At 40.6% G+C, this 17,128-nt stretch overlaps 1 pseudogene, besides 1 other annotated feature; it reads left to right on the top strand.

The window, feature by feature from the left end:
* On the top strand, positions 10,567-11,445 carry LOC100286942 (ribosomal protein S15a pseudogene; annotated as a pseudogene).
* Positions 15,794-16,710: an enhancer, noted in NCBI's record as "H3K4me1 hESC enhancer chr15:68260831-68261747 (GRCh37/hg19 assembly coordinates)". NCBI's record gives its function as "activates a minimal SCP1, AML or CMV promoter by ChIP-STARR-seq in primed H9 embryonic stem cells {active_cell/tissue: H9 hESC(primed)}" and the evidence as "EXISTENCE:reporter gene assay evidence [ECO:0000049][PMID:30033119]".

Raw genomic sequence — 17,128 nt, 5'->3', positions numbered from 1 at the left:
ATCAGGAGGAATTCCTTCCTTCTCCTGATCTTGACCTTTGCATGTTTCATCATATCTGAGGGTTCAACCTCAAGAGTGGATGGTCTTCTCTGTAAAACTTTTTATGAAAATATGCATTTCGGTGATTGTTCCATGGCAGATGGCAACTCAAAAAGCAGCACAATGGTTTTGAGATAGGGTCTCGCTCTGTCACCCAGGCTGGAGTGCAGTGGTGTGATCACAGATCACTACAGCCCCTACCTCCCAGGCTCAAGTGATACTCCCACCTCAGCCTCCAGAGCAGCTGGGACCACAGGCATGTACCACCACACCTGGTTTATTTTTAAATGTTTTGTAAAGATGGGGATGATCTTGCTACGTTGCCCAGGCTAGCCTCGAACTCCTAGGCTCAAACAGTCCTCCCACCTTGGCCTTCCAAAATGCTGGGATTACAAGGCCTAAGCTACCTCCCCCAGCTAACAATACTTTTAAAATATAAAACTACAGTGCATACTGAGAAGTGCTCAAATGATGTTATGATCATGAATACAAGGGAGAGCAAAGAAAGAATGAAATTTGATTGAGATGTTGAAGAATGAGAAGGCTTTTCCAAGAAGGGCAGTGATGACGGGCACTCCAGTGATGGGGAATTGTAGGCAAAAAGGACTGTGTGTCTGCAGAATAGCAAGCAGTTGAGTATTTGGACAAAGGGGCTTGGAGGGGTAGAGAGGGCATGATAATGGGAGAGGAGGTGCTGCAGAGGCCTTTTGTGAACTCCTGGCACTGAAGTCCTAAGATGTGGGCCTGCATCCAAGTTTGCCTTTTCCCTATATGCCCTTGAGCACATCAACCTTTGGAAGCTACCATGTCCTTATCTCTAAAACAGGGACAATAATGCCTATTTCTTACTGCTGTCACTAGGATTGAAAAAGATAATTAACGGAAAAGCACCACGTTAATATCTTGCCATCCCACTTGCTGTCTAGGGGATATTAGGCAAGATGCTAAATCATTCTGAGCCTCAGTTTCTTCGTGGGACAATAATAATGATACCTACATAAAATTCTTTTAGCATATCATGGCAAGCTTTGCCCCTCAGTATAATTATAATGCATTCTTCTTTCTGATGAGAAGCATTATGGAAGAAATCGCATTTTTCTTTCTCCCTCCCTGGCTGCCAGGACTTTCAGAAGCAGGCTTGATGCCCAGTCCCAGAAAACATGGTACCTCTTCTGTAAGTATGTCTGCAACCTCCTCTTCCTGAACTGCATTTTTTTTTTTTTTTTTTTTTTTTTTTTTGAGATGGAGCCTCGCTCTGTTGCCCAGGCTGGAATTGGAGTGCAGTGGTGCGATCTTGGCTCACTGCAAGCTCCACCTCCCAGGTTTACGCCATTCTCCCACCTCAGACTCCCAAGTAGCTGGGACCACAGGCACCTGCCACCACGCCTGGCTAATTTTGTTTTTGTATTTTTAGTAGAGGCGGGGTTTCACCATGGTAGCCAGGATGGTCTCGATCTCCTGACCTTGTGATCCGCCCACCTCGGCCTCCCAAAGTGCTGGGATTACAGGTGTGAGCCACTGTGCCCAGCCACATTCTTTATTTTATTATTCTTACTTCAAGTTTATCCTTCATTGCAAAGTTTTGATTCTTGATTCTTTTCTTCAAGCAACCTGCTTCTTTTCCATGCAAATATATAATCTTAGGAGATAGGAGTCCTAATTCTTGCAAAGTGTTCTTGTAAATTAAAGCAGTGTATTAGTCCATTCTCGTGCTGCTATAAAGGGATACCTGAAATTGGGTAATTCATAAAGAAAAGAGGTTTAATTGACTCATGGTTCCACAGGCTGTACAGAAAGCATGGCTTGGGAGGCCTCAGGAAACTTACAATGATAAGGGAAGGTGAAGGAGAAGCAGGCACATCTTACATGGCTGGAGCAGGAGAAAGAAAAAGACGGTAGAGATGCTACACACTTTTAAACAACCAGATCTTGGCCGGGCATGATGACTCATGCCTCTAATTGCAGCACTTTGGGATCACTTGAGGCCAGGAGTTCGAGACCAACCTGGCCAACATGGCAAGACCCCATCTCTTCTGAAAACACAAAAATTAGCTGGGTGTGGTGGCGCACGCCTGTAATCCAGCTACTTGGGAAGCTGAGGCATGAGAATCACTTGAACCCGGGAGGTGGATGTTGCAGTGAGCCAAGATCGTGCCACTGCACTCCAGCCTGGGCGACAGAGTGAGACCCTGTGTCAAATAAACAAACAAACAACAACAACAAAAAACAGATCTTATAACTCACTATCACAAGAACAGCACCAAATGGGAAACCCACCCCCATGGTCCAGTCACACCTCCTACCAGGCCCCACCTCCAACACTGGGGATTATAATTTGGCGTGAGATTTAGGTAGGGACACAGACTCAAACCATATCAAGCACCTTTATTTAATCAAGCTCTTCTTGCTAGAAATGATTTCCAATCCTCACATTTAGACAGGAGAGAGAGAGAGAGGGAACTGGGGAAATAAAAATAAAGATAAATACCCTTACAGGTATCAAGACTCAAAATTATATTAGTGCAGCATTAAATACCACTTGGGCCTTTTAACTTATTCATTATTTAATTTTTAATCATAAAATTATATGCATATCCTCCTTAAAAAATTGAATGTTGATAAAACTAAAGTTTTTTTGGAGCCCCTAACCTCAGTTTCCTCCCCACCTCCCCAAAGGAGACCATTATTATTAGTTAGGTGTGGAAACTTCTCTGTCCTTTCTTATGCATTTACATTTTTTTCCATAGAAAATGAACTCATCTTTACATTTTGACAGTTAATCTTCTGGGCTGTGCCTGAGGGTTGCCTTTCATTCATGATAACTTTTTAAGACAGGCCACATGTATATAAGTGTATGTAAATAAAATAACTTATGAAATCTAAAAGGGGAAAGGTTTCACATGAAATATATCTTTATGGAAGCTCCATAGCCTTCTAGAAAACAGAGAGCACATGTCAGCCCTGGTATCTCCCAGCTACTTTCTCTTTTCTGAATACTGAGCCTTCAGGGGCTGCCAGGGCAGTTGACACACACTCTGTGCTAGAAGGGTGAATGTGTAAGAAGGAAAGACCCTTGCATTGGAGGTCACCCCCAAGTCCCATTCTACAGATGGGTAGACCAAAGCCTAGAGGGGAGGCAATGAACTTCCAAGGTCACACAGCTGGGTAGAGGCCGAGCTGGGGTAGAAACCCGGCACCTTCCTGATTCCCAGTCCTGTGCCCATTCTACACTCACATGCCCAGTTCCTGCTTTCATTTTGGGAACTTGCCCATGGACCAACCTCTGTGCAGTCACCGAGGGGTGCTCATTTAACATTTACCCATTTGGTACACACAAGGCACACATTGCAGATAATGTGGGAAAACTGTGAAATTGAAGGACACTGTATAGATGTGTTCATTCTCTCCTTTATCAGAAGATTTACAGTTTGCCTTTTCTATGCTAGGAGCTGAGGTATGTAACATGGGGATACAGAGCTGCATCAGATCAGGTCCTGCCCTCTAGGAGTTTAGAACTAATTGAGGACACAAGACAAGTACAGCAACAGCCACAATGCCAAGTTTAAAGTGCCAAGCCCATTGGAGAGGTGGAGCGTGCAGAAAGAGACAGCCTTGCATCTAAGAGTGGGGGATCAGAGAAGGCTTCCTGGAGGAGGTGGCATCTGAGCAGCCCTTGAAGGATGATTAGGTTAGATGAGAGGTAATAAGATAAGGGAATTCCAGGCACAGCAAGGGGCTGAGCAAGAAAAGCAAGGAGGGTTTCAGAGAAAAGGTGGAGCTCAGGTTGGTAGGTAAGGTGAGAATGCTTGTAAAGGTGCTGAAGCCAAGCTTAGCCCCCTTGCATTGCAATCCTGAGGCATGTGTCTTCTTGCCTTCACTACAGTATATGCCCCAGAGGAAAGACAGCTGGCTTTATAGCTGTAAATCTTCTTGATGCCTGGAAACGTCATGCATATATTATATTATCGTGGACTATTTATAATTCCATTATAATTATAATATATATGAGAATGTACACATTAGATGTATATCTATATACAATATATTATATATGCATATAATATAAGGAAGAGAGATGGGAGGAAGAAAAGAGGGGAGTAGGTAAACAAGCAGGCAAAGAAATTACCTCCTTCTGTCACCCACTCTTTATCCTTCCCTGGGGACATTGTGTTTTCTCATTCTAGGAGTCTAAATAAATTGTCGATTTAATCTTGTGCTGTAATATGGATATGTCACAAGTGATTTGACTGCATGTTCTAGTATGATAATCACCATGTATTACTTCTTAGAAGTTACAAACAGCTTTGCTGTTCCCAACCCTGAGAGGAATATGTGACTGTCACAAATCCCCTCAGGAACCAGGAGCAGACACTTACAAAATCCACTACCTTAAGAGAAAAAAAATCACCCCCTCTAGGGATAAAGGAAATGCCAATTAAAACCACATGAAATATAATTTCCCTTTTCCTCCTCAAATTAGCAAAACTTTTAAATGAAATGAATGAGAATATGCACGAACATGATTGAGTTATTCCAATTCACATTAATCAAGTATGTATTAAGGATTTTTTTTTTTTTTTTTTTTTTGAGACAAATCTCACTCTGTCACCCAGGCTTGAATGCAGTGGTGTGATGACAGCTCACTGCAGCCTCAACCTCCTGGGCTCAACCAGTCCGACTACCTCAGCCTCCTGAGTAGCTGGGACCACAGGCATACACCACCAAACCTGGCTAGTTTTTGTATTTTTTGTGGAGGTGAGGTGTCATCATGTTGCCCAGGCCTGTCTCGGATTCCTGGGCTTAAGCAATCCTCCCTCCTAGGCCTCCCAATGTGTTAGGATTACAGGTGTGAGCCACCACACCTGGCCCAAGAATCTTAAAATGTTCATACCCCTAGGCAGTAGTTAACATTTCTATGGATTTATTCAAAGGAAGAAAATCTGAAATGTAGACAAAGTATTAAATATGAGTGTTCATTTCAGGATTACTTGTCATAGAGACAAATGAGAAATAATAGAAATGGCAAAATGAAGGTCATAATTAAGCAATTTATAATGTACCCAGCCAGTGGAGTCTTAGGCAGGCCTTACAATGGATGTTTATGGAAGAGTTTTTAATGGCATAAAAATATGTATGTGTGTGTGTGTGTGTGTTCTGGTTTGTTTATCCCTGAATATTTTAATGTGTTTTTTCTAAAAATAGAGATTTTTTTAAACCTGAAAATAATCAAAATCAGGAAATTAATGATGATATGACACCATATCACCATTACTTAATCCACAGACATAAACTCATTATTGTCCTAATAATATGCTTTATAGCAAAAGGAAAATTTTTTTCTTCTAGTCCAGGATACAGTAGCTGCAGTGAACCACCTCAAAAGGAGGAGCAACACTAAGATGTCCCATGTCCAGAGGTGATGGAAGAAAGTTGGAACAAAAGATACTCCAGGGAAATTGACAAGGGAATTAACTGGGGACCTGTAGCAGGAGCAGCCAGGCCTATCAGCCTTGGATTTCTCCACCTACCCTGCATGTAAGAGTTTAGGGGGCAAGGACTTGGATTAATGAGAAGGGGTCATGTATTGAGTGGCTGTCAAAATCTGGGAGGAATGAGAAACATCCAAGCCTAAAAGACCAGCTGCTGAGCTTCCCACCTAGCAGCAGGTCCTGCCTATCAACATTGTATGGAGGCACAAGCTCAGTAACTGTTTTGCTCTTCTCTATACACAGGCAGCTCAACCAAAGGCAGCTGTCAGCCTAACAAGACATTGCAACTCAAAAATGCACACAGTCAAGGATCACCAAATGCATGAGGAGTGCAATACTATAAAAAAGAGATCACAGATCCAGCAGATGGACAAATGCACACCTGAAGAAAGAGAGTTAATAGGGAAAACCAGAACTAGACTTAAAAATAAATGTGATTATAAATCATCAGAGAGATAAGAAAGTATTTTATTCATGATACAGGAATAGCTGGTTGTAAACAAGAAACAGAAATTTTGTAATAAAATATATAATTATTGAAATAAAAAATACATGGGCTAGTAGCAGAATGAACACAGTTAAAGGGTGAATCAGGGAACTGGAAGATGTGGTATGGGAATTCTTTCAGAATGCAACACGAAGTAAGAGAGATGGATTTTAAAAAGAAACAAAAGGTAAAGATATAGCGAATAGATTCAATATTCATCTAATAAGAGTTCTAGAATTACAGGCCAGAGATAACAGGGAGAAAGTATCATTTAAAGAAATAATAACTAGAGATTTTCCAGTATTTTTTAAAAAGTAGGTTCTCAGATTGAAAGGTTTCACTAGGTACCAATAAAATAATTTTTTAACCCACATCTGGACTCATCATAGTGAAACTGCACAACATCAAAGATAAAGAAAAAATTCTAAATGCTCAGAGAAAAAAAAATTAGATGTACCCACTAGAAAAGAATAATATCAGATGTTTTTAGCAACATAAATTCAATACCTTCAAAATGCTAAAGTAAGGGATATTTCAGTTTATTATTTTATAGCCAAATTATATTTAAATGTGAGGATGAAATACAGGTATTTTCAAACATAAAAATACTCAGAAGATTTACTCACTCCTTCCCTTCCAGATCCTTTTTGGGGAAAAAGAAAAGCAATTAGATGTTGTACTCTAGTTAAGAAAAAAACCCAAGAGGAAACAGTGGCATGCAAAAACCAAAGGTGAATTTCTTTTATTGAGTCAAGGTCTCTCTCTGTGGCCCAGACTAGAGTATAGTGGCACAAACATGGCTCACTGCAACCTTGAACTCCTGGGCTCAAGCAATCCTGGGTGTAGCTGGGAGCCTTTCAAGTAGTTGGGACCACAGGTGTGCACCACCATGCCCAGCTATTTTTTATTTTTTGTTGAAACAGGGTCTCACCATGTTGTCCAGGCTGGTCTTGAACTCCCTGACTCAAGCAATCCTCCTGCCTCAGCCTCCCAAAGTGCTGAGATTATAGGCATGAGCCACCACACTCAGCTGTGAATTTCTTAAAATGATTGAATAAATCTTATTTTTATCTAAATAACTTCCTGAAAAGTTATAACAACCTGGAACTAAAATTTGAGGTTAGCATACTGAGTATGCATAGGAACATTCCACAAAAAGTGGAGGTAATGAAATTAAGCTTCCTGTTAATATTTTTGCCTTGTTTGGGTGATGGTAAAACATAATGATGGGAGGCCATTGTTTTGAACAAAGCTCCTGCCCTAGGCCTCAACAGGCCAGGCTAAAAACCAAAATGGAGTCACCCATGCTAAAGTTCCATCTCACCAAACAGAAAGTAAGTTGTTATCGGACCTTCTGAGAAATCAGGATGAAACCGACCCAACAGTCCCATAGATTTTTTTTGATAAACATAGAAATGGACACTTCTGGTCTTAAAGCTTGAAACGTACATTTGTTTTATTAGTTCCTTCTTCAGGAAAGAAACCCCTGGCTTCTCAAGAAGTATCAAATAAATGAAACTCAAGAGATCATAGTATTCAGACAATGAGATGACAGGCCCCTCATTCATCATGATTGTGTCCTTACCCCAAGTTCCTGTTTTCCCACTTGTGGTTACATTTCTTCCCTGTTATATAAACCCCTAATTTTAGTCAATCAGGGAGATGGATTTGAGACTGATCTCCTTTCTCCTCAGCTGAAGCTCTCAGTTAAATCCTTCTTTCTTGGCAACACTTTTTGCCTCAGTCATTGGCTTTCTGTGCTGTGAGCAGCAGGACCTAGACCAAGGACCTAGACCTGTTACCTTTTGGTAACAAGAGGAGAGAGATAACAGCCAATTCCCCAAATAGGCCAGTTACAATCAGCTGATAATGAAGTTCCCTCCACTTTAATCCCTACCAAAAAAGTAACCTGAAGTTAACCAATCAGTTACCTTTCCACTATTCTTTCTCTCTGTCCCTGCCTTACAAAAAAAGTAACTTTGTGAAATTACCAGTCCACTTTTCATTCTTTGTTTCTGGTTTCTTCAGCTCTTCTCTGCCTATAAAAACCAACCTCTTCTGCTCAGCTCATCAGAATACTTATTCTATTTTGTGGAATAAAGTGTTGCCTGATTCTAGAAATGCGAATAAAGCCAATTAAGATGTTTAAACTAAATTTGTTGTAATTTTGTCTTTTGACAGTGAAGACATAGATACCAATTAGTTCTTTAAAATATACTTGCATATGTGCATTAAAAATGAATGTTAATAAGCACATGAAAAGAATTCAACATTAGTCATTAGGGAAATGCAAATAAAAACCACAATGAGGCACCTCACTACACCCACCAGGCTTGCTATAATAAAAAAGATAGACAATAAAAAGTATTGGCAAGGATGTGGAAAAATTGGAACCCTCATACATTGCTGATGGAATTGTAAAATAGTACAGCCACTTTGGAAAACTATTTGGCGGTTCCTCAAAATGTTAAACATAGAGTTACTATATAATCCAGCAATTCTACTCCTGGTACATACCCAAGAAAAGTGAAAACATATGTTCACACAAAAATCTGTATACAAATGTTCATAGCAGCACTATTCATAATAGCTAAAAATTGGAAACAACTAAAATGTCCGTTGGCTGGTAGATGGATATACAAAATGTGGTATACTCATACAATGGAATATTATTCAACAATAAAAAGGAATGAGGTACTGATACATGCTATAACAAGTAAACCTTGGGAATATTATAAGCAAAACAAGTTAAACACAACAGGCCATATATTGTACGACCCTATTTATTTACTTATTTCAGAGACAGTGTCTCACCATGTTGCCAAGGCTGGAGTGCAGTGGCTGTTCACAGGCATGATCATCACGCTCTACAGCCTGGAAATTCTGGGGCTCCAAGAATCTGCCTGCCTCAGCTGGGACCACCAGTGCACACCACCATGCCCAGCTGTGTATGATTCCATTTACATGAAATGTCCAGAAGGGGAAAATCCACAGAGACAGAAAATACGTTAATGATTGCCAGGTCCTGGAGGGAGGGGAAAATGAGAAGTGACTGCTAATGGCTGCAGGGGTGATGAAAATGTCCTGAAATTAGATAGTGGTAATGGTTGGACAACTCTGTAAATGTATGAAAAAATGCCCAATATATACTTAATTTTTAAATTTTATTTATTTTTTTGAGACAGGGTTTCACTCTGTTATCCAGGTTGGAGTGCAGTGGCTCAATCAAGGCTCATTGCAACCTCTGCCTTATGGGTTCAAGCAATCCTCCCACCTCAGCCTCCCAAGTAGCTGGGATTACAGGTGCACACCACCACACCCAGCTAATTTTTTTGTATTTTTGGTAGAGACGGGGTTTCTCCATGTTGCTGGGTCTCAAACTCCTGGGCTCAAGTGATCTGCCCATCTCGGCCTCCTAAAGTGCTGGGATTACAGGTGTGAGCCATTGTGCCTGGCCATCATTAGATACTTTAAAAGGGTGAATTTTATGGTATGTGAATTGTATCTTAATAAACCTTTTTTTTGTTTGAGATGGAGTCTCGCTCGGTTGCCCAGGCTGGAGTGCAGTGGTGTGATCTCAACTCACTGCAACCTCCACCTCCCAGGGTCAAGTGATTCTCCTGCCTCAGCCTCCCGAGTAGCTGAGATTACAGGCACGCACCACCACGCCTGGCTAATTTTTGTATTTTTAGTAGAGACGGGGTTTCACCATGTTGGTCAGGCTGGTCTCAAACTCCTGACCTTGTGATCCCCCTGCCTCGGCCTCCCAAAGTGCTGGGATTACAGGTGTGAGCCACCGCGCCCAGCCCAACCTGTTGTTTTTTTAAAGAAAAGAATGTTACAATAGAATATTATTCAGCAAAAAAAATGAAGAACTGACACATGCTACAACATGAATGAACCTTGAAGACATTATGCGAAGTGAAATAAGCCAGGCACAAAGGCTAAATATTGTATGATTCCATCTATATGTGGTAGTGAAATTCATAGAGACAAAAAGTAAAATGGCAGTTGGGAGGGCAGGAGGGGGAAAATGGGGAATTAGCGTTCAATGGGTACAGAGTTTCAGTTGGGGAAGATGAAAACTTTCTGGAAATGGATGGTAGTAATGGCTGTGCAACAATGCATATGTATTTAATGCCACTGAACTTTACACTTCAAAATGGTTAAGATCATCAGTCATTGGCACCATCCTGCAATCTAAGGCTCAGGTTCAGTGCTCTTCAAGGACACTGGGCCCCACTGGGCAGGAATCCTGGCCTTGCAGGGCCCTAGACAGGCATAGAGGAGAGCCATGTCCAGACACCCCATGCTCCACATTCTGGGGACCCGGGTCCATGAAGTGCAGGCTGCAGCACTGGTGAGAGCTGGAACTTTCAACCGCCCAGAAAGGCGGTAGCCCAGGCTTATACTGCAGTGCCTGGCTCCTCTTAGCAACTAAGACAGTGCCTTGGCCTGGGGCAGGCAGCACTGGGGATTTGTGGCCAGGTGGGCAGTGCAGCTTCTCATTGCTGGGGCTTTACTGGGAGCTTGGGAGGGTGAGGCTACCCAGCAGCCATAATGGTGCACATGAATGTCCTGGTTGATGCTCTCAAGAGCATCAACAATGCTGAGAAGAGGAGTAAATGCCAGGTTCTTATTAGGCCGTTCTCCAAAGTCATCATCCAGTTTCTAACTGTGATAATGAAGCATGGCTACATTGGTGATTTGAAACCATTGATGATCACAGAGCTGAGAAAATAGTGAACCTCACAGGCAGGTTAAACAAGTGTGGAGTGATCAGCCCCAGATTTGATGTGTGTTGGTCCGTTTCATATTGCTATAAAGAAATACTTGAGGCTGGGTAATATATAAAGAAAAGAGATTTATTTTGGCTCACAGTTCTGCAAGCTGTACAAGAAGCATAGCACCGGCATCTGCTTCTGGTGAAGGCCTCAGGAAGCTTCCGCTCATGGCACAAGGTGAAGTGGGAGCAGGCACATCACATGGCAAGAATGGAAGCAAGGGATGGAGGGAGGGGGCCACACTCCTTTAAACAATCCCATCTCGATGAACTCTCAGAGCCAGAACTCACTCCTTATGGCAAGGAGGGCACCAAGCCATTCTTAAGTCATCTGCCCCCATGACTCAAACACCTCCCACTGGGCCCCACCTTCAACACTGCAGATCACATTTCAACATGAGATTTGGAGCGGGACACACATCCAAACCATATCAATGTCCAACTCAAAGATCTAGAAAAACGGCAGAATAACCTGCTTTCATCCCACCAGTTTCAATTCATTGTACTAACAACCTCAGCTGGCATCATGGACCATAAGAAAAAGCAAGACAATAACACATTTGAGGGAAAATCCTGGGATTCTTTTTCTAGGGGTGTAATACATACCTATAAATAAAATGTCTTAGTGGACCCTGGTGCTTCCAAAACATGAATAAATAAAATGGTTAAAACCTGGCAAATATCAGCAAAAATAATTTTCATGCTGATAAAAGGAATACTTTTCCAAAAAATTATAACACGAGTTTACATATCTAACAACATAGCTTTGAAATATACAGCAAGAGTTTATGAATTACTAAATAATTTATAATTTGTATACAATTGGAATCATATAGCTGTGTGTGTCTGTGTGTGTCTGTGTGTGTGTGTGTGTGTGTGTGTGTGTGTGTGTGTGTGTCTGTGTATTTTTTTTTTTTTTTGAGATGGAGTCTCACTCTGTCACCCAGGCTGGAGTAAAGTGGTGCAATCTCAGCTCACTGCAACCTCTGCCTCCCATGTTCAAGCGATTATCCTGCCTCAGCCTCCTGAGTAGCTGGGATTACAGGCACACACCACCATGCCCGAATAATTTTTGTATTTTTAGTAGAGATGGGGTTTCACCATGTTGGCCAGGCTGGTCTTGAACTCCTGACCTGAGGTGATCCACCCACCTCGGCCTCCCAAAGTGCTGGGATTACAGGTGTGAGCCACCGTGCCCGGTCTTTTTTTTTTTTTTTTTTTTTTTAGACAGATTCTTGCTCTGTCACCCAGGCTGGAGTACAGTGGCATGATCATACCTCACTATAACCTTGAACTCCTGGGCTCAAGGGGTCCTCCTGCCTTAGCCTCCCAAGTAGATGGGACTACAAGCACAGACTACTGCACCTGGCTAATTTTTTAGTTTTTGTAAAGATGGGGTCTCACTTTGTTACCCAGTCTGGTCTCAAACTCCTGGGTTCAAGTGATCCTCTCATCTCTGCCTCCCAAAATGCTGAGATTACAGGCATGAGCCACTGTGCCCAGCCTAGACCTATATTTATATTGAGAGACTCACACACATTCATCAGACACTGACAAATCAAGAAGACAAAAAAGTATAGAGTATCTAAAGAGCAAAACAGTATTAGTTTAAGTCACACTAGCAACTGTAGCAAATAAACTTTTAACTAAGAGTAGCTGAACACTTAGACAATCGAGGTTAATTTCTTTTTCACGTAAAGTTCAATGTTTGGTTGTGGGGCACGGAGGAAGGGTCTCTGCCAGGAATTCAAGCTGATAGAAACTCTGCCACCTTCAACATGTAGTTGCCAAGGTCACTCTGTGTGTTGAGATCTTGGCATTCATAGTGACAGACAGAAAGGAGAAACACACGTAAGCTGGGCCTGGAAGTGGCACACATAATTTCTGCTCATGCTCCATTGGCCAAAACTCAGTACAAGACCACATCTAATTGCAAAAAGTCCAGGAAATGTAGCCTAGTTGTGTGCCCAGGAGGAAGGGGAACAAGTTTGTTCATCAATTAGCTAGTCTTTAACACAGCAAAGAACAGACGACCTGTCAATGTAATGGATATATGTAGAACTTTGAATAGAAAATGTACATTCTTCACAAATACAAATGGAACATTTATAAAAATTGACTAAGTATTGACTAAGTATTTAACTGCACAGTAAGTTCCAAAAAAATTTTTTAAGTGATATAGCTGGGCACAGTCCCAGCTACTTAGGAGGAGGAGGTAGGATGATTGCTTGAGCCCAGGAGTTTGAGTCCAGCCTGAGCAACATAGCAAGACCCCATCTCAAAAAATAAGTAAGTAAGTAAAGTGAAATAATATAAAACATTTAATGATAAAATTTTATGTCAACAACAACAGGAAGATGGCTAGAAATTTGTATACACCGAGAAGTTTTAAAACACAGGTCTAAATAATTAATGAGTTGACAAAAAACTACAATAAAATTAGAATTAACTGAAGTACTACTTTAAGATGACGTTAAAGTAGTCTTCAGGGAAATATATAAACTTACTTGCACTTACTATAAAGCAAGAAAGACTAATGATGAATTAACTTAGCTTTTGCATTGGTTCCCTAGGGCTGCCATAACAAATTACCACACACTGTGTGGCTTAACACAATAGACATTTATTGTCTAATAGTTTTGGAGGCTAGAACTGAAATCAAAGTGTTGGTGACACCATGTTCTCACTGAAGGAGGTGGCTTCCTAGCCTCTTACTGTCTTCTGATGATTGCCAGCAATCCTTGGCTTATAGACACATCACTCCAATCTCTGCTTCAGTCATCACATGGCATTCTCCCTGTGTGTCTGTCTCAGGGTCCAAATTTCTCTTTTCTTATAAGAACACCAGTCATATTGGATTTAGGGCCCACCTTAATCCAGTATGTTGTGTTTGGCCATTGAGGTATTGGAGTTTTCTGTTACAGCACTGAGCCTACTAACAAGGTACATCATTAGATGTATTCTCATTAATGTCAAGAGCAAGATTAGAATACCCACTATTCCCCTTCTTCATCATACCCAACTTCATGCAATAAGATTACCTCCAAAATAGACATATAAATATTAGAAGAGAAGAAGACAAAGCAAAGCATTAATTATATACAGATGAGATTTGGTTGCCTTCTCTAGAAGACCTAAAAGAACCAATGAACAAACTGTCAGAATTAATAGTACCAATGTACCAAAATTAATTGCCTTTCTACTTACAAGTATAAGCTATGAGAAAATGTAATTGGAAAAAAACAATAGTAACAAAGACTATAAAGTCTTTAGGAAAAATTTTAGTAAAAGATCTTTATGAAGGTGATTTTAAACTTGACTAAAACACATTTTAAAAGACCCAATAAATCAACATGTCAGATTCTTGGATAGAAAGACGCTATATTCGAGATACATTTCTCAAAATCTAGGTATGAATTTGATGCAATAACAATCAAATTACTCAAAAGACTTTTCACAGACCTTCATAAATGAATTCGTATGGAAGAATACATGTACAGGAAGAACCAAGGCAATGAAACAGAAAAAGTGGGTAAATTGCCCATCAGCTGTTAAGATACATTATAAATCAATAGTCAAAACAGTGTAGTATTTGCATAAAAATAGAAAAGGAGATAAATGGATAAATGGAAAAGAGTAAAGGGTCAGGAAATAGATCTGCGTTTATATGGGGATTTGGTATATGATAGAGGTGGTATTCAAAATCAGTGGAAAAAAGACTATTCAATAATTGGTATTAAAGCAATTAACGACCCATATGCAAAGCAACAAAATTAGATTCCTATCACATACATACACCAAAATAAATCCAGATGGAGTCAATGTTTTAATGTTTAAAAAAAAGATAAGTAAATAGATACTTAAAATTATTAGTGAAAAACGTAGATCAAATCTTTTTGAACAAAAAACAAAAATCTATAAAGGAAAATACATAAATTTTGCCATATTAAGTATTTAAAATTCTGCATGTCAAAAGACATTGCAAACAAGATTAAAAAATAATCAGCAGACTGAGGAAAATGCTTGTGATAGATACAGAAAAAAAGATAGTGGCCTAAATATATAAAGCAACTCTATAAACTAATTTTTTAAATAGCCAGTAAACAATATGCTTAATCATACTAATAATCAGGAAAATCATACAAAAATAAATTATTTTCACTCAGTAGATTCTAAAAAATTTAAGTTTTTTTAAAAAAGTGAAGTCTTATAATCAAGCAAAGCAGTGTTATAAGCTAACAAGGATGCTCATTATACGCAGTAGCTTTAGAGGGCAATTTGGCAGTGTGGATTAAAAGTAAATAAATGCATATTCAGCAATTCTACTTCCGTGCATCTACCACCAGAGAAACACTAGCCCCTGTGCAGAAGAACATGCAAAGGTTATTCATTGTAGAATTTATCACAGTAGCAAAAAATTGGAACCAATGTATATGCTCATCAAGAACAAAATGGGTAGATACAAAGTGGCTTATACATAAGATCGAATAATATAGGTGTCAAATGAGCAAAAAAGAAAAAAGCAAATTGCAGAGAAAACATTATACCATTGTGTAAAACACATATACAATATAATATATATATATACATTTATTATTACACTGTACATTTCCTGTGGGTCTACATAAATGAAATAGGTATAAATAAATGAAAAATGAGTGTAAATAAGTGGGAAAAAAATTAAATGGTCTGCAAAATTAATACATCAAAGAACCCAGGGCTGTGGGTGGTGATCAGACAGATCTTTAGCTTTAATATTCTAAGTTTAATATTAATTATTAAACAATTAAATGAAATTATTAAAAATTACAACATAATTAAAAATACAATTTACGCTGCACAAGAAAAAAATTAGAGAAAAAAGACTGAAAGGAAATGTACAACAATGTATAACAATGGTTGCCTCTGGGTGATGTGTTTATGGGTGATTTTCCTTTCTGCTTTTTTTTCCTTTCATTTTCTGTACTTTACACATTTTCTGAAATGGCCATGTGTTACTTTATAATTAGCCATGAAAAATGAAAAAGAAAAATAAAGAGCGTTTAAAAAACCCACTGTCAAATTCAGTCTTTAAAGAGCAGTGTGCTTACTTCCCTTCCCCCAAAGAGGCCCTGACATTTAGAAACAATATAAAACACTCTGAAGCACCATTTAATCCTATTACTCTTCTGGACCTCTTACAAACCTGGGGATGATCCCTTTGACTCTTTAAAATAAATCTCCCAAGGTCATGGGGTTCGTCAGTAACAGAGGGGGATGAAACTCCCAGGCCAGTGCTCCTCCCCTGCGCCATCTGGCACCTCAGAATTTCAGCAAAGATTTATTGCTTGAGCTAGCCAAAAAGCCAAATGCTCAAATGCATCTTCTTTCTAAGGGAATATTACTCCACTTAGGACCACTCTACTAACTTGCCACTGCCTCCTTTCTGGGCCTCAGTTTCCTCGTCTGTAAAATAAGGGGATTGTGTTGTCTCAGCAGGTCTGGAAATTCCAGGTTCCTAAAACATCCTGTGTGCCTTTTCTCTTCCCAGCTACTTCAAAGGATCCGCTTCTTCATGCTTGCTCTATGGTGATCACTGGGAGATCGTTTCCAATCCTGGTTCTGCAGCGAATTTATGTCCTGGGTGTCCCTGGGCAATGCAGTGCCTGTCTGGGGACCTCAGTTTTCCCATCTCTACAAGGAGGGTTTGGGCCCAGACCAGAGTTTTTCCACAATCTGGGAAGGTGAAGTGGGGTGACTTAGCTCCCTATAGGTCTGTTTCGCAAACTGAGGTTCTTGGTAAGGTTTTCTTTGAAACGAGAATCTTTAGCTACAAACCTGCTTGAAAACCACTGGGCAAGGAGACTTCGCAAGCTCTTTTCCAGGACTGACATTCTGTTTCTCCATGAGCAGCAGAACACTAGGTACCAGGGTAAAATAATGAAGATGACTCCCTTGGCTTGGGGCTTCCATCCTACTCCCTCTTGGGGGCTGAGCTGTTCAGTATTAAGATCTGAAATGCTCGGATCAGCTCAGCCCCCACTTCTTCCTCTCGCTCCCCGTCACCTAGGCAACCGGGCGGGGCCTGGGCGCGCGGTTCCTCCCTCCCCTTTCTCCCCACTCCAACGCCAGGCTGCATTCCCACCCTCTGCCTCCGCCTCTGCCCACAGCTTCTCTGCGTCTGGAGTCGCGAGTTCCACCAGTCGGGCTGCGTTTTGTGAACATGGAAACCAGATTTCAAGCGGGGGGGCCCCAACGCCCGAAAATGATCCTAGTTTGCATGCTAGATTTGCCTGGCTTCTTGACGGACGTGTTGCAGCCAAAGGGTCTGACCTTGCCAGGGCAACGTAT

This window comes from Homo sapiens, chromosome 15 (genome assembly GCF_000001405.40).
Source record: "Homo sapiens chromosome 15, GRCh38.p14 Primary Assembly".
NCBI lineage: Eukaryota > Metazoa > Chordata > Mammalia > Primates > Hominidae > Homo > Homo sapiens.
Note: the sequence above shows the minus strand (reverse complement) of the source record. Positions and strands in the feature narration are given on the sequence as shown.